General features: G+C 36.8%; 1 protein-coding gene and 1 long non-coding RNA gene across 6 annotated transcripts in view, besides 4 other annotated features; one reads left to right on the plus strand and one right to left on the minus strand.

The window, feature by feature from the left end:
• Window positions 1-26,232, plus strand: part of EPM2A-DT (EPM2A divergent transcript) — a 151,717-nt gene that overhangs the window by 57,542 nt on the left and 67,943 nt on the right. For 2 of the 3 annotated variants that reach the window (NR_038244.1, NR_038245.1), the window contains exon 1: window positions 22,466-23,021. The exons of the other annotated variant lie outside the window; for it this stretch is intronic. This is a non-coding gene — a long non-coding RNA (EPM2A divergent transcript). Of the gene's footprint in view, window positions 1-22,465; window positions 23,022-26,232 lie in introns of those variants that run through there. 3 annotated transcript variants of the gene reach the window in all.
• Window positions 1,092-22,385, minus strand: FBXO30 (F-box protein 30). 3 transcript variants are annotated; one of them, NM_001348092.2, is made up of 3 exons: window positions 22,282-22,385; window positions 11,962-14,011; window positions 1,092-7,899 (listed from the first exon to the last, which is right to left on the minus strand). In NM_001348092.2, the coding sequence occupies exons 2-3, from the start codon at window positions 13,993-13,995 to the stop codon at window positions 7,696-7,698; spliced, it is 2,238 nt and encodes a 745-aa protein (NP_001335021.1). In that variant the 5' UTR covers window positions 13,996-14,011; window positions 22,282-22,385; the 3' UTR covers window positions 1,092-7,695. The 3 variants fall into 3 exon arrangements, with proteins under 3 accessions (NP_001335021.1, NP_115521.3, XP_047275354.1); NM_032145.5 differs by having other exon boundaries at window positions 22,193-22,385; XM_047419398.1 differs by having other exon boundaries at window positions 21,931-22,385.
• Window positions 21,794-22,348: an enhancer, noted in NCBI's record as "H3K27ac hESC enhancer chr6:146135340-146135894 (GRCh37/hg19 assembly coordinates)". NCBI's record gives its function as "activates a minimal SCP1, AML or CMV promoter by ChIP-STARR-seq in primed H9 embryonic stem cells {active_cell/tissue: H9 hESC(primed)}" and the evidence as "EXISTENCE:reporter gene assay evidence [ECO:0000049][PMID:30033119]".
• Window positions 21,794-22,565: a biological region, named in NCBI's record as "H3K27ac hESC enhancer GRCh37_chr6:146135340-146135894".
• Window positions 22,026-22,565: a silencer, noted in NCBI's record as "silent region_17643". NCBI's record gives its function as "represses an Ori minimal core promoter by ATAC-STARR-seq in GM12878 lymphoblastoid cells {active_cell/tissue: GM12878}" and the evidence as "EXISTENCE:reporter gene assay evidence [ECO:0000049][PMID:35858748]".
• Window positions 23,406-23,475: an enhancer, noted in NCBI's record as "active region_25227". NCBI's record gives its function as "activates an Ori minimal core promoter by ATAC-STARR-seq in GM12878 lymphoblastoid cells {active_cell/tissue: GM12878}" and the evidence as "EXISTENCE:reporter gene assay evidence [ECO:0000049][PMID:35858748]".

A 26,232-nucleotide genomic window follows, 5' to 3' on the forward strand; every position in this document is an offset into this window, starting at 1 on the left:
TAGGTAAAAAGCAGATGAGATCAGAATTGGATCTTCACCAATGAACAAAGAAGTTAGGGGAGAACATTCTAGGCAAAAGAAATAGCATATGTAAAGGCTCACAGACATTGAAGGATATGAAGTGTTTGGGAAATAGTGAGTAATACAATGCAGCAGAAATGTAGAGTGCAAAGTGATGGAATAAGAGAAGGTGGATGATTAAGGAAATTCAGGTCAAATAACCTATTTGGTGAGAAGTCCTAACTGTTGTAGAAGTATCAAAATATTAAGAAGAAATGAATACGGTAAAAAATCATAACAAATGTGTTAGTGTGTGAATTATCACAACTATTACCTTCTCATTTTCTTTGATTTTGGACTCTTGCAATGTGTCAGTAAAGCTACTGTACTGCTACTTGTCTATGTTTATTACCTTATCAACCTCATTCTGTTAAGTTCATTTAATTATACTTACTGTTGTTCAACTTGAAGCATACAAACCCTTTAATTCACATATATACCCCCAACTATATGAGAGGCACTGTTATCTGCAAAGCAATTTAACTTTTTTTAAAGATTGATTTGAACCAACGGTATGAAGCTGGCTCCTTAGAACAATGGAAAATAATTGGTTTAAGGTGATTCAAAAATACTCCCTTCCCAAAGTCATGGAAGTAGTGACACATTCCTTGAGTAGCAGACTACTTATGATCATGTGTGCTTTACTGTGCTGAAGAACATCTCTTTAAGATGTTTGGAGAAGAATTATGAGAAGAACCACTTAAAAGTGATTCTATGCCTAAAGCCTCCCCTCCTCTGAAACTTATCCATTTGTCCATGTGTCTGGCATAGTTACTAGATGATGAAAGAAAAAAGAAAAAAAAGAAATTACCTGTGAAACTTTCAAGCATGAAATAACCTTCCAGAATCAAGCCTACACATTACCTGGCATGAGTATTCAGTAAATGCTTGTTGAATGAATGACACATTGATAACGTCAGCTTCAATTTCTCCAAATATAAAATGAGAAGCTAAATGATCATTAGAGTTCCTACCGATCTTAAGATTCAGATAGTTTTTTCCCCACAAGACAATACAAAAGCATAAAAATGTACACATCAGTACAATTTATTTAGTCTTACTCTAATACAACAAGTTGCATTTGTTCTTTAAAAGAAACAAAGTATAAAACTATAAAAAAAAACCTTGAAAATTATACAAATTTTTTTCAAAGCATGGTTTTAAAAACACATCTTTAAAAAGCGTGATTGGGATGTGCCACAAGGAATCATAATAAATTTCAAAAGATAAAAAATAAACATTGACACAGAAGTCAATCACTCAGTCACAGAAGTTTTAAATATAAGGAAATTTTGATGAATTACAGCTTTATTTCTGCTGCTGTCAGGAGTACTTCTATGATGGGATTCACAAATTTTACTAGAACTTTAAGCTGAATAGATTTGTCATGTTACTAATGCTATAAATTAATTCTAAACCACGGTTTGGGCATTTCACAAACGTTGAGAACACTAGTTTTTGGCTTTGGTAATGATTGCAAATATCAAATTCTTTTCTTTTTAATTGTAATAAAATACACATCAAATACACCATTTTAAAGTATACAATTCACTGGCATTTTGGCACATTCACAATGTGCAACTATCCCCACTATCTTGTTCTACAATATTTTCATCAATCCAAAAGAAAACCCCATACCCATGAAGCAGTCACTCCCATTCCCCCAGCAACCATGAATCTGATTTATCTCTATGAATTTACCTATTCTGCATATTTCATATAAATGAAATCATATAATATGTAGCCTTTTGTGTCTAGCTTCATTCACTTAGGTTTTTTATCCTCCAAAGAATATCACATCTTTCTGCATTTAAGGTAACAACATTTATGTAAATCATGAGAAAAGGAAGCTAAATGACATCTTAGGTAAGCCAATCGGCGCAATGACCTTTCAGAATGCAGTTAAAGTTTTCAATACTGAGTAGTATTCAAACATTGATCAAATGAACAATACTACTTTAACATTTTAAGTGCAAATAAAAATCTTTAGAATTCATCTCCACTGAATTATTAGCCATTCAGAGTAAGTTATTTCATATGACATGGCTGTCATGACAAAGCTATTGGAATGTTGTAGGGACCAATACTGTTCTCTCCATATTTTATTTAAAATACAGATTTTTTAAAAAGTCATCAATTGATATAAAAGACATCCAGTTGACATAATCATTCATTGGGTAATTTTACTCTTGAGCAGACACAGTGCCCATTATTTCCATGGTTTGATTTATTTCAATCAAATAACACGGTTAAACCTGAATGCTGATACTTGTTAGATTCAGCAATACTTGCTGATTTTTGAAGAAAAAAATGAAAAAAAATTTGTTTCTTCACGGGTGAGCTGAGAGAGACTTTAAAACAAGCATGATAAGTTACTTAAATCTAAAATTACTGACGAAAATGACTAAATTCAGGGTCACCTCACCAGAAAATTAATGTCATGGGATAAAGAAGCAATAATGACAATATGGAAAAGAAGATTTCAACACAAAAAAAAATTCTAGGACAGCAGAATGCAGGACCCCTTTTTTTCAATTTCAATCTTTTGAATATTAACAAATTGTTACTGTTCTTATGTCATCAGACTTTAAAACTACTAAATACTAATATAACAATGTTACTTTTTGACTGGAAGGGGTATTAAAAAGCTGTCTAACTCTAGTCAGTCTCTCTGTCAAAGAATAAACAAATAGATCAACCTATTTGCCTCACATCTGAGAAACAAAATTTCTAAAAATTTATATTAGAAAAGGGTAGAAATTAAATCTGATGAATTTGCCTTTGTTAGGAGCAACTGACCTAATTTATTGGTCTTAAGAGCAATTTGACCTGATTAATTGGTCTTAAGAGTTCAACACAAATGCAGTTTTGTTACTTTCAAATACACGAAGAACTATTAACCACCACAAGAACTAGCTACATATTGAAGAACCATTCCCTAGTATTTGCATGCAAATGGGTTAATAAAATGATTTTGGAGATGCTTAAATTTTTACCCAGTATTTGCCTTATGTTGTCAGTTCACTTCAAAAATGTTTTCTTCATAGTAAAAGACAGATGCTTCCGTCCAGCTTATCAAAAAGATTGAAAATTATTTTTAAAAAAGGACTTTGCATCAATGAATTTTTATTATATTTCTATAGAGCATGTTCATGAATATTCCTTATAACCCATTTCTTTGTAGTTTATTAATGAAAAGTCACTCTCCACATAATACATTGAAATATAAAACAATCTGAATACAAAATGCCAGTTTTGAAATGTGCTAAGGTAACAAAGCACCTCAAGATGTATCGCCATTAATACATCTCAAGGTGTACTGGCCAATTATGAAGATTATATATGTCAAATAAACATGTATAAGCAATTTATTTAAAAAAGTTTAATCATAGATGCAATAACCTACTTGTAAAATTCAGCAAGAGGCCCTCATTTCGCAAAGATTTTCAGAGCAACATATCACACTTGGTTAGTTAGTTTCCTTTTGGTATTGCTCCAAAATGCTTTCCAAAGCAGTAGGAATCAAATATCCTAGGCAACATTTTCCAAATTTCCTTACATCTAAACATCTCTTTTCTTCCTGCATTCGTAAAGTGAAAAAGTGATCTATGTAAGGACATAATTCTCTCTCAAATATCCCAGTACACTAATCACTGCCTAAATTTTGAGTACCTATTTTCTCATCCATAAAATTCAAATTTGAAAGGTTTTATCTCTTGATCTCACTTTAATCTTTTAAATAAAGGGAAATAATTATGTAAAAGATGACTTCAAAAGCAAACCATCTTTCCTTTTCCCTTATTTAGAAAGGACTTCATTAGAGTTGATCTTTTCTGAATTCGAACTTTGCTTTTTTGGAAATCAGACAAATCCTGTCAAACCCCATTATTAAATTATCTTAAACACCATCAAACAAGTCACTGATGAGTTGATAAAGGTATAACTAATATTCTCTGCTTCCTAGACCTTATGAGCATCTTAAGTAAGACTACTTAACAGCAACGTTTAGATAACCAGTCAAACACCTATCAGAGAAATTCTTTCCATCAAAAGTCTGTCCAGAGAATGAGGGCCAATTGCTTTCTCTCTACTGCACTTCTAAACAACCAACTCTGCAAGCTCCAATCACATCACCAATGTGGCATGTCATGCATGAAACAAACACATTTTAAAATATTTGAATAACTTTTCCTTAGGAAATTTTAAAATTAATAAACCCCATGTCTTTTCAGGTTGGGATGCAAAACATGAAGAAATCTGTTTTGCTTCCAAACACCTAAAACTAGTCAAATCTCCACAGGCAAAACTGTTATCGATATAGTAATATAAACTACCATATCTTCAAGGGATATGGAAGTTTTGCTGAAAATCCTATTATCAGCAACATTACTAAGATCCCAACATCCAGTGTTAAAGGACAGATATTAATAGCAACAACATTGATGAGATAGGCAGCACAGAGTCAAAGATCAAAAAAGATTCTATACTACTTGTAAACAAGAGATCCAATCTTTCATAACATCTTATTGATAGGGTTGAAAAGATCCCTAAAAATATTTTTTGTAGGATTTAATCCAATATTTGTCTACTTCTACTCTTTGATTACCCTACAATTTGAATATGTTCACGACTCTACAACCACTAAACAAGAGAATGAGATGACTAGGCTAAATGTTACTGCTAATGAACTAAAATTTGCACTGCAATTTACCTTGAACAGAAGAAACACTAGTAAAATTTTAGTAAAATTTTAAATACTAGTAAATACTAATTTAAAGAATACAAGTCCAACAACTACAGTACCCAGTGTATTTTGTCATATGGCTGTAAAATTGAGACAACATATATAGTTTAACCATTAATAAATTACCATTACTGACTTTTGGATTACACATATATTTATACAAACACACACAGGTACACACATATATCCACTCCAGTAATGCACCAGAGGGTAGCTGGCATGACCCAGTCTTCCCTCTAAGTTCTAATACTTTACTGTGCGTTAGAATCACCTAGAGATCTTGTTAAAACAGATTGTTGGGTCCCACCCCAGAGTTCCTGATTCACTAAGTCTGGAGAGAAGCCTAATAATCTGCATTTCTAACAAATTCCTAGGTGTTGATGTTCCTGCTGGTCCAAGGACCACACTTTAGGAACCACTGCTGTAAGATCTGTGAGTCTCAAAATCTAGAAAAAAGAGTGAGAGAGGGAGAAGGGAAAGGGAGAGGGAGAAAGATTAAGCTAACAGGCAGTATTGAGGAAGGAGGCAGAGGACAAAAGTGAATTCAAATACTTCCCTCCATCCCGATGCTTGCCTTTTACCTTGCTATTTAGCAAAGACTAAGGAATCAATGATGACTTCTCAAAGTACAATCTATTAGGCCAACATAAAAACCTTTTCATACTTAAGAGGAGAGAGAGATGGTTTCCATGACAACTTTTAGAGCTATAACCATGCTAGAAACTCTTCCGCCTTTCAGTGCACCTAGGTGGTATTACTTTCGAGACACTGAAGGATCAGAGAAAGCTAACTAATGCGTGTCTCAAATTTTAAAAAAATTAAGGTTCACTAGTAAAACATGGGTGAGTAATGATGATAATCAACAACTACCATAACATGCAGAAAATCCACATTACAGAAACAATATGATTGTGTTGGAATTTGTCAAACAAGTATTAAAATTTTATTTAAATGAACGTTTTTAAGTTATTGAGCCATGTTAAGGGAAAACATTAATTTTATTAGAACTTGAACAAATGTTTCACAAAGAAAACATTTTAACAAAATGGTATGGTGGCATAACAATAACAAAAAAGAGAACAGCAAAATGTGTAAAAGAAATATAAGGTGGAAAAATTGTTAAGTATCTCATAATCCAGTGTGGAAATAAGAAGTCTAAATTTAAAAACAATGAATTTTAAAAAGCATAACTATAAAACAAAAGTTAATGCTTGTGCTATCCTAACCACAGACACATTCTTCAGCAAAACTTTAAAAGGCAGAGTTACATTTTATGGTATTTAATATCTCTTTTCTGTTGTTTTTTCCACAGAAATAGAGACTGTTTATTCAATCTCACAGTTGAAAAAGAAATTTTAAGCACTGAGAAATAAGTATTCTACTATTTAAAATGACTGGTGAGGCAAAACAATTGATTAGTCTTTAATGCTCTGTTTTTCAACTGTACTAAGGACTTCATCCAACCAAAACAAATCTTAAGCTTCAGAACTCTCTAATGCTTAAGGAACGCCTCTGCCTGATTGCCATATAAGGGAATCAAGAACCTAGTAATCGTGGAGTACTCTCAGGGACAAATGTAGGAAGAGAGGACACAACAGAGTTTTCACAATTTTAACAAGTAATCTGTCACCATTTCAGACTACCAAATGCTAATTTACTTAAGACAAATTATTTAAGTATATATTCCCACCTTTGCAATTTATTTCTAAATACTGATATATTCATTTTTTAAGCAGACCACATCAGGTTAATAATGGTATAAATCAATTTGAAAACTATAATAAACTACTTCAAGAATAGGTATATTTTTCCATTATACCTTGATCATTATGTAAAGATGCAATTCTTACTTTCTTGGTGGTGAAGCCTATGGGAAATTAACTCGGAAATGTTTCAAAGAGATTGTCAACCAAGACAGGTTTCTACATGATTGTCATTTTACAAAGATAACAAATTTCACGTTTTTAAATGTCTTAAAACAACATAGTTGTAATGTTTATAAACATCAAAGGCAAACATTTAATAGTCAAGCCCTTTGCATTCTGAATATTTGAAATTTACACAATACGCCCAATTCAAACCTAAATGAGGTATATTTTCTTTTAAAACATTAGATAACTAGCAAATATATAATACCAGGAGCAGTTTCAAATTAAATTATATTCACAGGCTTGCTTTTTGTTTGTTTTTGCTTTGTCCTGTCATATAACACACTGCGATGAGTCTTCGGATGTGGCATCTAACAAAAAAGAAAGCTGCACATGGTCACTCTGTGTGTTGAGTTGTAAGTATGTGAGATAAAAACATCTTTGTGGATTATTTTTAAAACGATAAACTGCATTACCAAACTTTATGATTTTACGTATGTAAGTATATATTAGAGATCATTTGTGCATTAACAATTGTATAGGGAAGCACTAAAAGACAAAAACATTATAATGATATTATGGCAGTGCTTAACAAATTCAGAATATTTTTATATGAAAAACCTATGCTGTAAAAAATCTCAATCAAAATTTTGCTTTTTGATTGCATGGGTCGCAACCCACAGAAAACAACAAATAAATTGGTCAGGATTTTTTTAGTTTAAGAAGCAAAAATTTAAGAACCAAAATATGCACACCACTGAAAATACTAATTCTTAAAATTATGTAGCTAAAAATTAAATCACCCTGTCCAGCAAGTTCCAAAAATTTCACACATTTCAAACATTAAGGCAACTTTTTCCAACTAAACAGTACTTTATAAAAATAGATGTCACTTCAAAACATTATATACACAGTGACAATAAATTTAGCTAGTTGTAATATTTAATACATTAATAAAGTTTCACATATTACAAAGAAATTATACTAGGTGCTTGCATATATGTGCTAGTAATATTACAACTTTTAAAGTACAGGTTTTAAAACTGAGCGTAGTGAACGTCCTTCTTTAGTGAGTTCTCGTGTCACACACATACATGGCAAAGGGATTGCTTCCTCCCGTTTCTCGACAACATTGTAACTGCATTTCTTCAAGTGGTCTGCCATGCTTAGGATGTCAGCAAATTTCCATTCATTAACAGAACAAAATGCAGTACTAAATCGCCATACCTACAAGAAAATTCTACTTTAGATTTAAACAAGTCAATGTGTAGAGAATCAAAACACACTTTTTGCTCCTACTGCATACATTTCTGCTATTATAGAAGCATCCAATATAAAGTTTCAAATAGCTATAAAATTAAAAATTGGTAAATCCTTTTGGACATAAATGTATGTCAAATATTTACAAGGTAAATCACTTCTATGACATTATGACTTCAATAAATCTAAAAACAATAAAAGACAAAACTCAGTATTAAAAATCACACCCAATCTGGCTTACTAAATGATTTTTAAAAAATCAAAACTGCACAAATTCAGAGCCATTTCCTAAAATATTATATACTACACACTATTCTTTCATACTCTCCAATTGGCTATCTAGAACTAATTACACTCTGGAGATACTGACAATGCAAGTGTTATTTTTTTTCTCCAAGTTTTTCTCTCCCATTCCTATTTATAATATCAGTACTAAAAAATACCCTAGAATATTGTGTGCCAAGGTAAGTTTCTTTTTCCGCTGTTCACAAGTACTAAAGGTACTTAGTGATATTCAAGTACTTCAATTTGTTCAAAATGGCTCTGAAATTTTATATAAAAATAATATTTGTAAAGTGGATCCTATTTTAGTCCATATCATTGTAAAACATGTTTCTAGGCAAAATACTTACCTGCCATCCCTATTCATGTCTGTAGGTAAAAATATTAGCTACTTCCCTTTTTGTCCACCCAACTGCTCTAAGCCCTGAAGCACTGTCAAATTATTAGTCCAGCAAAAGACTGTGCCCCAAGCCCCTCATCTTTACAAATGAAACATAAAGCTACCTGAACATAAGTAACAAGCATGAATGCAGAGCAGGACAGACCTAGATAACAAGCATGAATGGGGTAGGACAGGCCTAGCCATGCCTGCTAAGTTTATCAACAGGCAAATGTCTAATTAGGGAACAATTTACACACGTTGAACTGCAGATGCTTTAGAACAAGCTTGTCTAACCTGGGGCCCGTAGGCAGCATGTGGCCCAGGACGGCTCTGAATGCAGTCCAACACAAATTCGTCAACTTTCTTAAAACGTTATGAGATTTTGTGTGTGTGTGTGTGTATGTGTGCGTGTGTGTGTGTGTTTTTTAGCTCATCAGTTATCGTTAGTGTATTTTATGTGTGGCCCAAGACAATTCTTTTTCTACCAATGTGGCCCAGGGAAGCCAAGAGATTGGACACCCCTGCTTTAGAAAGTGGCAGATTTAAGAAAAACCCTCAGCATTTATTGCTTCTCAGGAAAGCATGGTAATGTCTTCTCAGGGTGGCTAGATGTGGGAAAACAATTATTTGTCAACTAGCAATAGAAAGTCCCCATTGTTCAGCACAACGGTACCCCCTATACTCCTTAGGATTATGATCAATTACCCTTTATGGAGTGATTTTCCAGGAGTCAGTGAAGGCCTAGTGATAGTATAGATGTCACTAGCCTCCCTTACCATTCCCCATGCTCACAAAGCTACAAAAGGAATTAGGAGTTTTCTTTAAGCTTGGGCAGGTGAATTAGCTGAAAGATTCAATGGAGACAGGCAGTCTCTCTACTTCCATACAACTGAGAGTCTGGTGAAACAAACTCAGGAAAAGCAGGCAAAAGAAAATGTATGACTCCCACCTGCTGATGACAAGGTTTCTTAGTAATGGATCCATCTTTCACTCAAGTATGCATCAAATATTTACTCAGTGCCTACTACATAGTAGGTACTATGCAAGGCAGTATTTTGGTTCCCTGAGAGTCCCACTTCTCAAGGAATTTACAGTCTAGTGACTGAAACTGACAATTGATCAATCAATTTCAAAACAGTTCAGTGAGTGCTTTAGTAGAGGTTTATCACCACAGGAACACAAAGCAGTGCAACAACTTGTCAGGTTATGGGTCCCAAGAAGCTATCTTCAGGAGGTAAAACCTGAAGAGTAAGCGGGACATAGCAAGAAAGATGAAGATCACAAGATCGAGAAACCGGCTTCCTAAGTCAATTAGTTGGCCAGCTTAATTAACCTCTGTTTCTTTGTCTGTAAAATGGGTACAGTGGATTATATAAGTTCATACAAGCAAAGTGCTAATGCACACTGAGTAGCATATTGCAGGTGCTCAAGTGTGAGAATTAGGGATGGCATATTTTAAAGACTTAACGCAAGAAAAAACATCAGGGAACTGTAAGTAAATCAATGCGGTTACAGTATAAAATGATAGGAGGAAAGTGAAAAGATAAAGATGAGATTATGAAAAGTCTCAAATGTTTTATTAAGGAGCTGGGCTCTATCCAGGGGTGATGAACAAATATTAAGGAAGTTTTTAAGCACTGTGGTGACAGTGTAAGAATTGTATTTAAGAAAATATGTATCACATTAGCTCTTGTGTAGAGAATATATTGGAGAAGGGCCCAAATGGAAGTAGGAACCCAGTTAGAAGGAAGCTGTTGTTGTAGTCCAGGAGACAACTACAGTTGGGACTGAACTTGGGAAATGGCAGTGGAAACAGAAAAGCAAACCTGAGAGGTTTCAGGACTTCATGATTATCTGAATAAAAATAAAGGGGGGAGAAAAAGCAGCCAACATAACTCCTAAATTCCTGGTTTAGGAAACTTGGTGATGATGGTGCCACTTTCTCAGACTAAGAGGGGGAGGACTGGAGTAGGTTGGATATGTTGAGTTTGAGAAAGCTATAGGATAATCAAGTGGAAATGTCCAGTAGATGCTTGTATATAGTGGTTGGGAGTTCAGTGGAGCAAATGGCTAGGATACAGATGTGTGAGTAATCTATATAAATGATGGCGAGTTAAATTTGAAGAGTAGGTGAGATTTTCTGCAGGAATGATTATAGAATCCCCCCAAAAATTTCACTCCATATGTCAATACTAGTAGGCAAAGATAAAAAGAGGCCATACTAAGACTGTCCCATCCCAAAGGGAAGAAAAGATACAAAATCATATGGAAAACAAAAATACACACAAACACAAGCAGTAGAAACTTTCTGCCATCAGAAATTCCCTTTTGGAAAAAAAAATCGTGAAACAATTTGTGTGATCATTTATCGGTCAAGGCCTCAGGGAAACCAAGTGGATGTAGTATTCTGAAAAATCAGTGCAATGAATGCAAGAAAACCTAAAGGTGCTACGAATAAAGTAACCAGAGTTTGAATGCTGTGCAACTAAATGTAAAGTTTATCACAATTGTTTCCACTTTAGAAAATGTAAAAGTTTCATATTATAAGTGTTCAAAAATAAAAAAACCTTCAATCAAAGATATCTGTAATGCCTTCCAGTTCCTACTGAGTAGTGCCAAATAGAAGCTGAGCAAAAGTAGGGTATCACAGAAGGAAAATGGTGTAGCTTGGATTTGCTTAGGTCTGCCTAAATCTCCAGCTCAAGTTTCCAACACAATATGCATCACTCCTTTGGACTCTACTAAACCCAGAGTCCCCACCCAAAATATCAAATCCTACTGCCCTACTCTGTTCTCACAGCGGCCTAAAGCATCTCCTCATTCATCCATTTATGTTCCTTATTCCCCATATCATATACTCCTCTGGTCACTTTAATATATGACCACAGTAGTAGTTGTAACTTATTCTCATCTCTTGCTATTTAGGTTGTACCTGAAACAACCAAATCGTAGGAACAAAATTGCCATAGAATGGAGAGACAATTACAAGCAGGAAAAAAACCCTCTTCTTGCTTCCTCCATTATCTTATGGTGCACATTTTTCAGATGGAGTCCAAATTAGAAGATGGTAACATGGACCCAAACAAAGAGAGTTGTTATAGAAAAATTGAGAAACGTAAGTGGTCTCTGCCATATTAGATTATAATCTAGTTCTAGGAAATCAGTAGTAAACCTACAATTATGGCAAACAATTCTAACTATCCTAGTTCATTATTAATTACCATTAAGAAAAAGTCTGTCATCACACTGATTTAGTAAGTTTTAGGGAATGGTCAATTTCTCAACAAGATATTAATTGTATTAATTCAGCAGTATTATTAAAGTCCTCTTTATGTCAAATAAGAGGTTGTAAAGATTACACTAACCTTTTCTTTTATCTGCCATGATGAATTTCCTTCTGGATACTTCCTTTTCCCCCACTGCAGTATGACCATGCCACGAGACTGAAGCAGGCTGCCACACACATCCCTCATTAACTTGGATACACATGAGAGCTGACATAAGCTGAAGCCATCGAGAAAGCCTGCAATATGCTGCAGGACCTCAAAAGGAAGACTACTTAGATGGTCATTATGTAATCCCAACACACAGTTTCTAGCAGGCTCCACTAATACTGTAGATACACATGGCTGAACTCCAAATGACCTCAAATGGCGGTCATGTATAATCTTTGCTCCTTGTATTGATGGACAAAATCTACGCTGAGAATAGGTACAACCATAGTAAGCTAAAGGGCACCTCTGTTCCATCCAGCCATTGAGTCCAGCATGAATGTCACCATGCACATTCTTAAAGTGGGAAGAAAATTCTTTCCTTCTAAATAACTGTCCACACACAAAGGTAAACATTGAACGCTGCTTGGGTTGGTACCTAGCGACACATTCCAATACTAAATCCAGCCCAAGTGTCTGAAACGGACTTGGATTTGAAAGCTGTGGATTGGCATGATCACAAGCTGAAGCTGAAGCTATCTCCCCAACCATTGTACTTGTAGCTAATATTGCAGATGGAAGTGAAAAAGTCTGAGTCCCAACGTCAATGTGATAAATATCAGCCATGCGGCTATCAGATATACCCCTCCCTCCTGGAGAATCTCCTAGACAAAAAAGCAATGCTGCTGTGATCAGATCTATTCCTTGGAGGCCCATAGGATCTTCTGCAACTTCCAAATCTGATGTATCTACTGCTTTATCTTCCTTTGGTTTAGACCAACATGAATTAGAAAGAAAATTGAATGAAGGAGCATGACTGAAAGATAAGACATCCACATTCTTCACGTCCCCTAAGTCTACTTTTTTCCAACACAATTCACCTTCACCTTCATCATCTGGCATGAGGATATGCTGAACTGTGCCATTAGGCAAAGCACTGGATGGTATTATTTCCCTAAGTTGTGCTGCCACCGCAAGTGAGCTGGAAGGTTTTGAAGTGCCATCTGATGATGCCACACAGTCTCCATTTGTTAAGTTACTTTGTTTTGAATCACCATGTAAATTCTGATTCTGGTCTATGACCTGGGTACATATATTTTCCAAAGGAAAGCCATTACAAAGAGCAGAAGTGTCATAAGAACTTGTATTCAAGTCACATAATAAATCACTTGAACCATTTTGTTCAGACTGGGCATTCTGATTTGTGTCATTGTAGTCAATTCCACCTACTGCTCCTATTTCCTCCTCATAAAGATGATCTTGGTCTTTCAAGTTTTGATCCTCTAAGCTTTCTCTCGCATTTTGCTGTTCATCCATGTCATTTGGGACACTTGTATTTAACATGCCAATGTCTCTTGTAGCAGTATTCAGGATATCCAAAGCAGCAGCCAAACTTCTGGTTGTTTCTACAGTAGCTTGATAAAGTGCACCATAAGATTCTTCATCAACAGACACTAAACCATTAGCATGTGGTATTTCTGGGACACTTGATTTAACTGAGATTTGTTCTCTAGGTTTGGATACTTTATCAGTTGCTTTTGACATCATGGTGGCTACTTTGAGGGATTCTAAGAGCATCCTTTGGTCTTGAAGAGCCAAGGCCATATCCAATTGTGCCACTTCATCGACATCTCTGCTTAGATTTTCATATGATTTCCGGTCTGCATAACTAACTGGCCATCGATTCCATTCCATAGTACAGCACACCACACTTGCAGGACACATTTCTAGATGTTCAGCAACTTTATTTCGGGCCATGGTAAATGGACATCCAAAGTCACTATTTAAGCAAGGCACTCGTTCAAATGGACATAAAAGTCGATGCTCATCAGCTTTACAAGAATGGAAAACTGCACCACAAACCAATGGACAACCAATCAAATCACAGGAAATCCCTGGCTCTGGCCTGGTCATGCACCGTCTACTGACACAATTCACACAATGGGAATGCTGCAGCTCCTCCTCCATAATGGCCAGTCCAGCTCTGGTTGATGAAATGGAAAAAGATAAGAAATTAGCCAAAAAATGGTTGATTTTTCAAAATTGTTTAATAATTAAATCACTAATTTATCTAATATCTTGGTTTATTTTAGGATGACATATATAAAATAAACATACTTAACCAGTTAATTTTACATATAATCAATGTCTTGAAAGGATGTAAGCACTTACATTCTAGTAACAATTCAATACTGTAGAATGTCATAACGGTTCATTTTTATATACTATATAACAATATGCCTAAAAGGGCAAAAGTTTCAAAATATACTATTTAAATTCTAATACTGTGTATTATTTAATGTTAAAAACAAGTTAATGTGTATTTTAGATTTCAGAGTGTTTTTCACTTTTACCTTTCTAATTTCAACTAAACTGATTTTGATTGTACCCCACATTTCAGAGATCTTGTATTACTAAAAGAACAATATGAATTTCATGAATATATTTAAAACTTTCTTAGAAGTCTTTTTTTATTCCTTCTAAATGAATTCATTTAAGATTTCATCTATTGATCTCTCCTTCTATATATGCCTTAATAAATTCTGCCACAAATTAAGTAAGTCTTAATTAGAACATACAAGGAATTTATCCAGAAAATAAAAGTTCAAGCTCAAGCTCTGTGGCTGTGGGCAAATAACTTACTTTTGAGGGCCACATTCATTCATTAAATGCCTATTTATTGTTTAACTATCATGGACCATGCACTGTGTTTGGTGTGGCAATATAAAGATTAGCAAGTCACAGTGCCTCCTCTCAAAAAGCTACAGCAGGATGTCAAAGACAGTAAAAAGTGTATCTCGTTTTTATGTGGTCAATTTGACAGAAGTAAAATGGTACCAATAGAGAAGATAATAATCAATATGAGTAGGGATTAGAGAATAAATCACAGTAGTCTTGAAAGAGAAGTCTTAAGTATGGGACGGTAAACTGGTAAGAAAGAGAGGCATTCAATGCAGAAGTAATAGCATATGCAAATACAGAAAAGCATGAATTAGCAAAACCTCAAGTTCCCTAGTATTGTTGGATCACAGGGGAAAATGCCAGGTATCTGTAAGAGATGAGGTCAGAAAGGAATAAGGCAAATCATGATGAGTGCTTTATGCTGCTCCAAAGAGTTCACACTTTTACAACTGGAAGTCACTGAGAATTTTAAGCAGAGAAATAGTTCTATAAAATAACATGAATGGATTATAGATGTCTAATGGTCTTCCCTGCTTTAAAATTTCCATCATAACCTTTATAAAGAAAAGTTTTATATGAAAAATAAAAGTCTAACCATAATATATTGACTTAATTATAATTATTGAGCCTATTCAATGTATTTTTAGTATAATCAACTTCTTTACTGGTGTGTTTCCTATTAGCAATAAAAACTTTAAAAGATTATTTAACCTTTAAAAACTAAAATAATAGTCACGGTGGCTCAAACCTGTAATCCCAGCACTTTGGGAGGCCAACATAGGAGGGTCATTTGAGGCCTGGAGTTCAAGACCAGCCTGGACAACATAGCAAGACCCTGTCTCTACAAAATAAAAACAAAAAAATTAGCCAGGCATAGTGACATGCACCTGTAGTCCCAACTACTTGGGAGGCCAAGGCAGGAGGCTCAAATGAGCCCAGGAGATTGAGGCTGCAGTAAGCCATGACTGTGCACCCCTGCATTCCAGCCTGGGTGACAGAGTGAGGCTCTGTCTCAAAAAATAATAATAATAATTGAAATAATAACATAATATCCCCCCTTTACCACCATTTTTTTTTTCTTATCCAGTCAAACTTTCAAAAGAAAAACTGAAAACCACCAAAAAAAAACGTCTAATTTCCTATATATTCTTTAACTCTCTATTCTGGCCCCATTTTTACTACCCCTATTAAAACTGCTCTGCTGAGAACCTCAATACTAAATCTGGAGGCATATTTTTCTAGACCCCATCTTCCTTGGCCATTGTATCCTGATGATGACTAATCCCTTATTTTAGGACTATTACATCCTCTTACTTTTCATGATGTCACTCCAGTCTTTCTCCTACCCTTAGTCTTCTTAACTATTACTCAATAATAATTATTTAAATATTGCATTTCTTCAGGGCTTGTGTCATTTTTTGCTTATTCTGTACATTCTCCCTGGGTGCTCTCATTTTCTCCAAAAGTTTCAATTACCATACATAAGCTGAAAATCCGTCTATACATGCTGCCCAGATTCCTCTTTCAAACTCCTCTTCACTCTCTACAATGGATTACTTATGATATATTTCTACTTGTATATGGCACAGGCAACTCAGTTCAACATTTCCAAAATTAAATTACATTGTAGTAGACAAGAATTTTCTGGATAGGAAGGTGATTCTTATCCTGTTTTCTTCACCTCAGTGCGTAAGAGATTATTAACTCTCTGACATATTTTTCCATAAAATCTATCTTGGCTCCAGGTAACTAATTAATCACTCCTCAATTGCTATTATCTTTTTCTCCAGTTGAGGTATGAGTTTTCTCAAACTAAAATAACAAAAGTGTACCTGAATCATCATCAACAGAGCTTTTCTTGATTCAGTAGAAAAGTTCCGAGTTGATATTATGGTGTTCAATGATGTCAAAGAAAAGACAAGGTATATATTCAACGCCAAACCTATATTTTTTAATTGTGTTAAAAACTACAAATTATGAGTTGAATACTTTTAAATGTTTATCTTCATGAATTTTAGACATAAGTATAGAAATATATAAATAGACATACTAAAATAGTCATATAGAAATAAAAGACTAATAACAAACATTTGTAAATTAACCAGACATTTAAAGAAAAACTTTATTAAGAATTATGACAAATCTTACTGAGTGATTAGACTGTGAAAACAGCTGTAGCTTTCTTATTTTGCAGGAACTAGACTGAGTTGATCTCACATGCTGAAGGTTACAAGCTTGACTGTTACTAAGGGAGAAACCTAAAAATACAAGCAGTTTCACCAGAAGTAACCAGTGCTCTCAGAAGTTTTAGGGACACTTTATGTTACTGTACACACCATCACATGACATCACCAGGCAAAACATATCTTAAAAACATCACTTAATTCAAAAGTGCTTAAAATAGCAACTGCTTGCAACAGGGTCTGAGTTAAAAGCAAAAACAGCAATAATTTTCAAAGGTAGAAGGAAAGTAGTCAAGCTTCAAACAAATAGTCTCTTTTACACTACCCATCCCCCTTTGAATAAGGTTTCAAAAAAGCATCCATAGCAACAAGTTCATAACATTTATTATTTTCTGAAGTAGACTTAGAAGGAAGAGAGAACAGTAATTATGTACCTATTTTATCCTTCTTTACACATCTTTATAACAACCTGGAGGAAACTGAGGTTCAGAAAGAGCAAGTGATCTGCCCAAGGTCATCTACCTAGTAAGTGGCAGAGCTAGGACTGTATGTTCTAGCTCCACGTCTGATCAACATCCATGGACAATAACAGGTATGTTTACTTATAAAAGTTTAAAAAACTTAGGCAGCACTTCTGTAACTGGTGATCCAATGTTAAGATGTTATGTGAAGAATGGAGATTACACAACTTTGCTTGTAGTTTATCCCAACACTTAATCACTCCTGTGGTCAAGAAAGTCTTTTGGTCCCTTCCAATTATAATAGCATTTTACTCTGCTTTGAATATATATGTTTTAAATTATTTGAAGAATAATTTACATAGATAATGCTCAGTATAAGTGTATGGAACATTATATTACTAAATTTAACAATTATTAAAATAGCCATACAAATGAGGAGTGAATTTCAATTCCATTTTCCTATTAACTATATTAAGAAAAAAGTTAAGAAAATATAGTAGTCAATACTCAAGAGTATTCTGGGAATAGAATCCTCAGCTTCAGAATTTAAAACTCTCCTAGATTCATCCTCTTCCTAATCAAGACCACTACTATCAAATTAAACATGCCTTTATAAAGTATTTTGCAATTGCTTGTAAATCCTGTAAAACAGGTTTAAAAACATCAATCTCTTATTTATCAGTTAACAGTGACACAGTAGGCACAGTAGAAAACAACTAACATCTCTAATAATTTATATTTGAATTTAAATTGTTGGAAAAGTTTCGCTGGACCAGAAAATATTAGTAAATCATCAAATGTTTTCAATTCTTTCAATTTTCTCTGAGAGAAGTTCTTTGCCAACTCATACTCTGTGGCTGACAAGCAATTCATTAAAATAGTTCTAAGACATGGCATTTTCCCATATAATGAAATGAGATCTTGTCATTAAAGGCATAAATATATTGCCCTCAAAAAAGCATTTTTAAAAAATTCATTAAAATACATAAGGAGGTAAGTAAATATAAAGAAGTGCAAATTAGCATGATTTTAAAATATAAGAGTCATCTAATGTATTCAAAATAACCTGCTGCCTCCAGGCTGTTCCTAATGTCTGCCTCTACCTCTAACACACAGACACAGACACACATCCCTTTTCCTCCCCACACGCCCCTGCTGCCTCAACCCTAAGTCTTGGCTTACCTGTTACTTTTCCACATACTCCAAAGACAAGGTAATGGATCCCATATTGTGTGTACTCATTACATACTGTCTTTTTCCTTGGTAATACTAGTGACAACTCTAAGTAAGTCATCATTCTGTATAATATCTATTTCCACAGGAAAGCTATAAGCTCCATGAAAGTCAGAATCATCTCAGTCTCATTCATTCTTATGTTCCCTACATTCAAAATTCTGCCTCAATTAGAGACTCATTTGTATTAAATATACGAAGAATTATAATATAAGAAAATAATGAAATGGACAAATGAGATTCTTCATTTCACAGAAAACTACATATTCCACATAAAAATACCTTACAGATCTGGCATCAATCAAACTGAATCAAAATTACTTCATTGTATTGGCCATAAAAAGTCAATGGTGCTCAAACACATGTTAAGCACATAAGTAATATGTTCCAGGCATTATATATGGAGTAGGACGAATCATCTATCAAAAAAAGCAAATCAAAGAAAGTCAGTTTCAACCTTCCACTGTTTTAAAATCTTAAATAGTAATATGAGAAACATAGGAGGAAGCATTTACCTTATATTTTTCCACTATTTTAATTCCCTCATCAACCCTGCAGATCAATTACTGGAAAAATAATGAATATAGAAGCACTGGGTTCAAAAAGAAAGGAAGGGATTAAGGTCTGCATATGCAAAGGTGCCCGATTAGGGTAGAGAGTGAGAAAAGTAAGTTTAAAATAGGAAGTGCTATCAGCCTACAGCTTAGTATTACAATTAACATGGTATTAGATAAAATATACTTAAAACAGTAATATACTGTTCCAATGTAAGGCTGATATAAAACTATAGACAGATTTGTTCAATTAATTAACCATTTCTACAAGTTAAGTCCACAAATGAAATTTCAAATTTGGCAATCAGTTATAAGCTCTTCCAGTGCAAATCTCATCCCTTGTAAAGTCCAGAGGTATTAGTGCATAGTACCTCTGGTGACTGATCTGTTTATCAGGTGCACTCAGCTTTAAAAATCATAATAAATCTATACCCTAGTTAGGCATCTTATCTTACTGTTTAAAAAGAGGTGGGGTTGGGGGGCGGTGGTTAGACAAAATCAAAAAGGCATTATCCTTAAATTCCCAACTCAAAGCACTAGCTTCCAGTCCCAAATGGCTAAATGGATTACAATGTGTACATTCTTTTATTAAACTTTCGTTCTTTTTATTTATAAAATGGATGACCTAATTATATGGACTTTTTTCATGTTTTATTGTTCCAGATAAAATATATCAAAACATATATCTTTCATTTCTAAATAGAGTCATGGTCATGAGTAGCTTATTCCAAAGCGAAATCTAACTACTTGCAACGTTCTCCACTAAATAAGTAAATGAAATCACAGACTTACATGGGAAATTGAAATAGTATTAATAAATATTTAATACTCGGACTAGAACCTATTTGAGTTGATACTCAGATAAAAATAATCCACCCAAACGGTAGAACTCAGTTTATTAAAACAGGTAACATGACATGAGGGAATGGGCTTCCAAAGAGTCTCAGCTTAGTGACCTTGAGGCAATTACTTTACTCTGGAAACAATCTAGAACTTTACAAAGATTGTTTACAATTATGTGTGTGTCCAATAGGATATAAACATGTAGTTCTCAGAAACCAGATGTACTTCGATTTGCACAACAGCCACACTTATATACACAAAAATTTTACGTGTAATTATTTTTATGAGATCATTAATTAAATGCAATCATATGAAGAACTACCTAGTAATAACATTACTCATTCTTTAAAAAAAAGATTTTCACAGACTGGGTTTTAACTGATCCGCTTGTCTGTATCTAACATCTAGCTACCTAAAATATAGAAGCAACTTGTCTAAGGCCAATCTCCTCTATTTCATCACACTGAATTTGAATTTATATTTTATACAGCCTTTGACTCAATTGTTTTATGTCAAAAAATTCTACAAATACAATGACATTCCATAATATGTACTAACTCCTTCTATCAAATAAGCAGTCTTAGGAACTGAATTAAAATATTTATCCAAAATCATACAGAATAGCATAGCGCTTATCCATTAAAATATTCACATCTTAGAAACATGTTATATCAAACAGTAAGCATTAACCAATGCCTATTTTGGTGACCTTAAAGTACCTCTCTATACACGTTAGCATTACTTATATAATATTGCTTTTTAATGATATATTAGGACACTTTTTAGAAGAAGTCTCCCAATGCTAGACCGGGAGAAATACTGGATTGAAATTAAATACCTAGTACACTTGGTATACATTAAAGTTTGCCTATATTCGAAACTTCAGTTCTCTTACAGCATTCACGAAACTCCACCATTTCCAGAATTAAAAAAAAAAAAAAAAGTTACGTCACGGCATTAAAGTGCTAGGTAAAAACAAATTGGCAATTTAAAAAGTCAGCAAAACACCATGTTATCCCCAATTAAACTTTTGTGATGAGAAACAGTGACTAAGCATGAAGAAGAGTGATTCAGCGGAAACCGCATATTGAAATCTAACCCTCTGAAAAATCCTAAAGGTTTATTTTATGCTACTCTTTTCCTTTTGCCATGTCAACAATTGGACTGCTTTGGAAAACCTTAGTATGAGCAAATGCAAAACCTGTTAATATAATTTCCATAGGTCTCTAAAGAACAAACAGTATTGAAATTTAGCAAATGGAAATTAAAATTTAAAAAGTTTGGGATTTTGTATTAAAAGATTTTAAATTAATCTACACCGATATCAGAATGCCCATAAATAACTTCATCTTGGATCAGAGTCAACGAAGTAATCATGGAATAAAAGGTCAATTCGTTCCCAAGCATCTTTTATCTGGGACTTACAACAGGGCTCAATAAGAAAAACAAGAGAAAGGGAGAGGGAAATGGAGTACTAGGACATTGGTAAACACATACTGTTTTGCCTCTTTGCCTCTATACTCCCAAATATACCCGTTAAAAACATACTGGCAGATTACTTTGAATTCAGCACGCGCTCTATAAACCCCTTCCAAGCAAAGGAGTTCCAAGGCGCAGGTCTTGGAACAACACAAATAACCTCAGGTCTGCAAAATAAGGAAGTTCCCCTTTAATAAGGACCGAGGCTAAGGCTAAGATCCTCTCACTTCCATGAATGGCAAAGTTACCAACTTTGCTCATCCCGTGCAGACAGTGGATGATGCCTCCCCAGTCTTACTTTAAGCCATTTGTCCCCAAATAACCCAAGTTTCTAAAAACCAGACGGAACGAGAAGCTTAGGGTTCCCTAAGTTTAACTCCTCCTTCGTCCCTTCCCAATACAAAGACACACAAACTGGGGGGGACACGGAGGTCGGTGCCCTCGAGGCTTAAGTCGCCATTTGCTGACCTCAACGGCTGGCCCGGCATGCGGCCCGGCGAGGACACGAGCGCGGCGGACGCCCTCTCAGGGCGCCCGGACGGCCGACCCGGGACGCGCATGGACCGGGGTCAGCCGCCTTTCCTCTGCTCCAGGCCGGGCCCGTCAACCCCACGGCCGCCAGCGCCAGCGCCTCGGTCCCGGCCGCGGCCTCAAACTGCCCGGCCGCTGCCTTCGTCCCCGCCGCAGCGCGGACGGCGCCGGCCTCCCCTGCGGGCCTCCCGTCACTCACCGGCCGGCGCGGCCGAACCGCGGCCCAGGCCCTAGCTGCCCTGGACGCCGTGCCCAGCTGCTCCGCTCTGTCCCGGCGACGCTCCGTACCCCACACAGCCGTCCGAACCGCCTCCTCCGCCCCTCTTCCCCAGCCGGGCCGCCGCCTTTTCTCTTCTCCCGGCCTGCTCCAGAGGCAGCCACCCTCCTCGCGCGCCCCGCCCCGCTGCGCCCCGCCCACCCGGCCCGGCTTCTGCCGACAGCTGGGCGGGGACGCGCACGCAGTCCCGGCGGGGACGCGCACGCCGCCCTCTGACCCCGCAGCGTCGTGGCTAGAGTAGGGTCTGGAGAGAGCTCCCACTGTGGCGAGTCCTGTCGTTGGATTCCCGCGGCGCCCCGTAAGGCTCCGCCCCGGCGGTGCTACCAAACCCTGTTCGATTTTAGAATCGTACATTCCCAGAGGGAATCCTAGACCCCTCATTTTACAGTTGAGGAAACAGGCCCAAGTAGCATGACTTGTTCGCGCCGCTAGTCGAAGGAGCAGCAGCCCCGATCCCTTGACTCTGGGGCACTGCTTTCCCTTTAGCTCATTTTTGGAGGAAATGGGTGCGCCCTTGCTCGACCTTTGGTGATTGCCGCCACAGGCCTTCCCGCCGGCTAACTCAGCGTGCCCAAGTCCCGTGACTTAGTGCCAGGACGGTGCTGTGACCCGTTATCCCCTGTCGGGTTTTACCTCCCCCCGGGAGAGCTCAGCCCTGGATCCCGGCGGGCGGCGGAGCCTCTCTGGAGCCCGGACGGGACAGCCCACCAGGGTCTGCTTCTGTGAGGGGCCGAGGCGTCATTCCGCGAAGGTAATTAGCTGGGGAGGGGACTTGAAGCCGCTTTTGCAGTGTACCTTACATATGACTGGGGAGTAAAGAAATCCCACAGGGCTGTATCAAAGAATGGATGGATGTCCACGCCCCCGCTACCACCACCAAGCCTTGGTCTACGGCCGAGGGACAGTGATTCCGAGCTCTGGGTGTTGGGAGCCGCTCACCCGCCCCCACCCCTCTGTCGGGGACTCCTGCCCACCCCGTCGCAAGAGAATTACAACAAAGGAAAGATGGTTGTAATCCTGGCAGTGGGGATGGGGGCAGAGCCAGGAAAACACTGTTGTCATCCTTTTTGTGGCTGCATCTTTACCCCTTGCTGTTGTGCTTTGGGAAAGAGAGCTCACACATAATTTGCTATCCTACAGAGAAAGCCTGTGGGTTTTTCAGATCCGTAAATTAAACAAAACAAAACAAAAACTGAGTTAGGAACTTAGATTACAGAGTAAAGGTTGATTCCTTAAATGATTAACTTTTTGAAAAATTATCTGTTCCCCTTATTTTGCCTGATTTGGCTGTAGACAGGCTCTGGTCCTCGGTTCAGACCTTGAGAGCCACTGTCCAGAGAGCTACATGGTCAGGATGGGGAAACAGGCAGGATGGCCCAGTGGGAGAGGATGTAGGTGCTGCTACACTATAGCCCCGCTCAATGCTCACTGTCCTGGATTGAGTCACAGACCTTTGTTTTGCTTTAGCTGTCCTCTTATAAAGGATCTAAAATAGATTATCTCTAGAGCCCTTTCCAGCTTTAAAATTCTGTGAATCTCTAATTATACTTATTGAGATCTGGGGCTTTACCTTTTACTAAGTCACCTAGCTGACACTAGGTCACCCTCACTCGCCTGAAGTTGAGTCATTCAGGTTGGAAACCTCATTGTCTTCTTTGTCCCTTCATCTCAATAATTTTCCATGTCCAGACAATTATTTAAAATCCTTTTTTTCTTTCACCTTCATCCCTAGTTACTGTTAAATCAAGTTTAGCCTAAAGCAGCCTCCTTACATATTTTACGTTCAGCCTAAAGGTTTCTGTGTACACCGTGAACTATAATAAGTGGAGGAGTAAACAGACCATAGCCCACACTTCTGTCAATCATTGAGTTTGGCCAATCAAATGTAGCCAGTTGTTCGAACCTTGTTCAAATAAGGCAAACCCCAACCTGTAACCAATCCAGCTGTTTCTGTACCTCAGTTCCGTTTTCTGTATGTCGCTTTCCTTCTTCTGTCCTAAATCATCTTCCACCATGTGGCTGCGCTGGAGTCTCAAAGCCTACTCTGGCTCAGGAGGCTGCCTGATGCGTGAATTGTTCGTTGCTCAAACTCCTTTAAATTTAATTTGGCTGAAGTTTTTTTTTTTTTTTTTAACATTACTGTCTTAAACAAATTTGGATGTCTGCTGTTGCCTAACCAGTCCTTTCTCCTGCAGTATCTCCTATCTCAAATCCCCTATCAACACAATTCTTCCTAAGACACCCATTTTATCTTGTTATTTTTATATTCACCTGGCTGGGATGATGTTTTAGTATGTGTATTAGGGTTCTCTAGAGGGACAGAACTAATAGGATAGATACACATAAAAGGGAGTTTATTAAGTATTAACTCACACGATCACAAGGTCCCACAATAGGCCATCTGCAAGCTGAGGAACAAGGAGAGCCAGTTTGAGTTCCAAAACTGAAGAACTTGGAGTCTGATGTTCAAGGGCAGAAAGCATCCAGCATAGGAGAAAGATGTAGGCTGGGAGGCTAGGCCAGTCTAGCCTTTTCATGTTTTTCTGCCTGCTTTATATCCTAACTGTACTGGCAGCTGATTAGATGGTGCCCACCTAGATTAAGGGTGGGTCTGCCTTTCCCAGCCCACTGACTCAAATGTTAATCTCCTTTGGCAGCACCCTCACAGACACACCTATGATCAATACTTTACATCCTTCAAGCCAATCAAGTTGACACTCAGTATTAACTGTCACAGTCTGTTTATGCTGCTATAACAAAATATTACAGACTGGGTAATTATAAATTACAAGAAACTATAATTATAAAGAAGAAAAATTTATTTTCTCACAATTCTGGAGGCTGGGAAGTTCAAGATCAAGGCATGGGCAGATTTGGTTGTCTGGTAAACATCCCATCTGTGCTTCTAAGATAGCACCTTGAACACCTCTTCCTCTGGAGAGGAGGAAAGCTCTGTCCTTATAGCAGAAGTTGAAGGGACAAAAGTCAAATTCCCTTTGCCCAGCCCTCTTATAAGGGCATCTAATCCCATTCATTAGGGCAGAGCTCTTAAAACTCAGTCACCTCCCAAAGGCCATACTTTCCAACACTGTTGCATTGGGGTTAAGTTTCAACATGAATTTTTGAGAAGGGGACAAAACCATTCAGACCATAGCAGATGGCTATCTAGAGCCCATGAGATACAGTCTCAACTCCTGTCTGCAGTTGCTCAAAGTAAATCTTTCATTGTAGCCTGATTTGTTTCCTTCTTTTCTCTACCAAACACTATGCACAGTCCAATTCCAAGCCACCTGTGATTATACAGTATAATAATAAATCTGAGATTCCTCCTTCTTAACTATACAGCTCTAATACCATGTCCTCTCTGAGAGGACTCTGTAGCAAATACTATCTGTTTTGAGCACTTTTACATGTACCAAATGGCACTGTTACCTTTTTCACAAATCTATATGTGAAACATATAGATTCACATGTAGATATTGGCTCACAGATTATCTCCCAAATTCATGGGAGCAGATTTTGCATCACTTTAATATGTTCCCCAACTATCTAGTATACTACCATGTACATTGTAGATGCTTAATGAATATTTGTCATTTGAAAAATAAAATGTTTACTTTTCCTGTCATTTCACCCCATCCTCATTTTCTGTGTATCTTCTATTTACCTTCTATTGGTGCCTTTCCAAGAGAATGTATCAAAGTGTAAGGTGAGCAGAAAGAATGCCAGAAATCACAAGTTTCTTTAAATATGCCCTCCTCTCTAATATACATGTATTTTGACATAGACTTTTAGAGGAAAGCTCTCATCTGTGTGACTTAGCCACTCAAGAGAAGTGACGGGGACCCTGGAAATTTAAGGTTTTTTAAAAAAAGGAGGAAAGGGCAATATTAGGTTTGACCTACCTGCTACCTTAGAGGAAAGCCTTGCTTGTTCCTCACATCACACCCCACATGCTGTCA

The sequence above is a fragment of the Homo sapiens genome, chromosome 6 (genome assembly GCF_000001405.40).
Source record: "Homo sapiens chromosome 6, GRCh38.p14 Primary Assembly".
Taxonomy (NCBI): domain Eukaryota; kingdom Metazoa; phylum Chordata; class Mammalia; order Primates; family Hominidae; genus Homo; species Homo sapiens.

What these genes read in the sequence shown, in the direction of transcription:
- FBXO30 (XM_047419398.1), bottom strand. Translation starts at nt 22,022, where the DNA reads ATGCGCGTCCCGGGTCGGCCGTCCGGGCGCCCTGAGAGGGCGTCCGCC. An exon ending in ATGCCGGGCCAGCCGTTGAG is followed by an intron (nt 14,012 to 21,930) that starts GTCAGCAAATGG and finishes TTCATCAACCAG; the next exon opens with AGCTGGACTGGCCATTATGG. An exon ending in CATGGCAGATAAAAGAAAAG is followed by an intron (nt 7,900 to 11,961) that starts GTTAGTGTAATC and finishes ATTTTCTTGTAG; the next exon opens with GTATGGCGATTTAGTACTGC.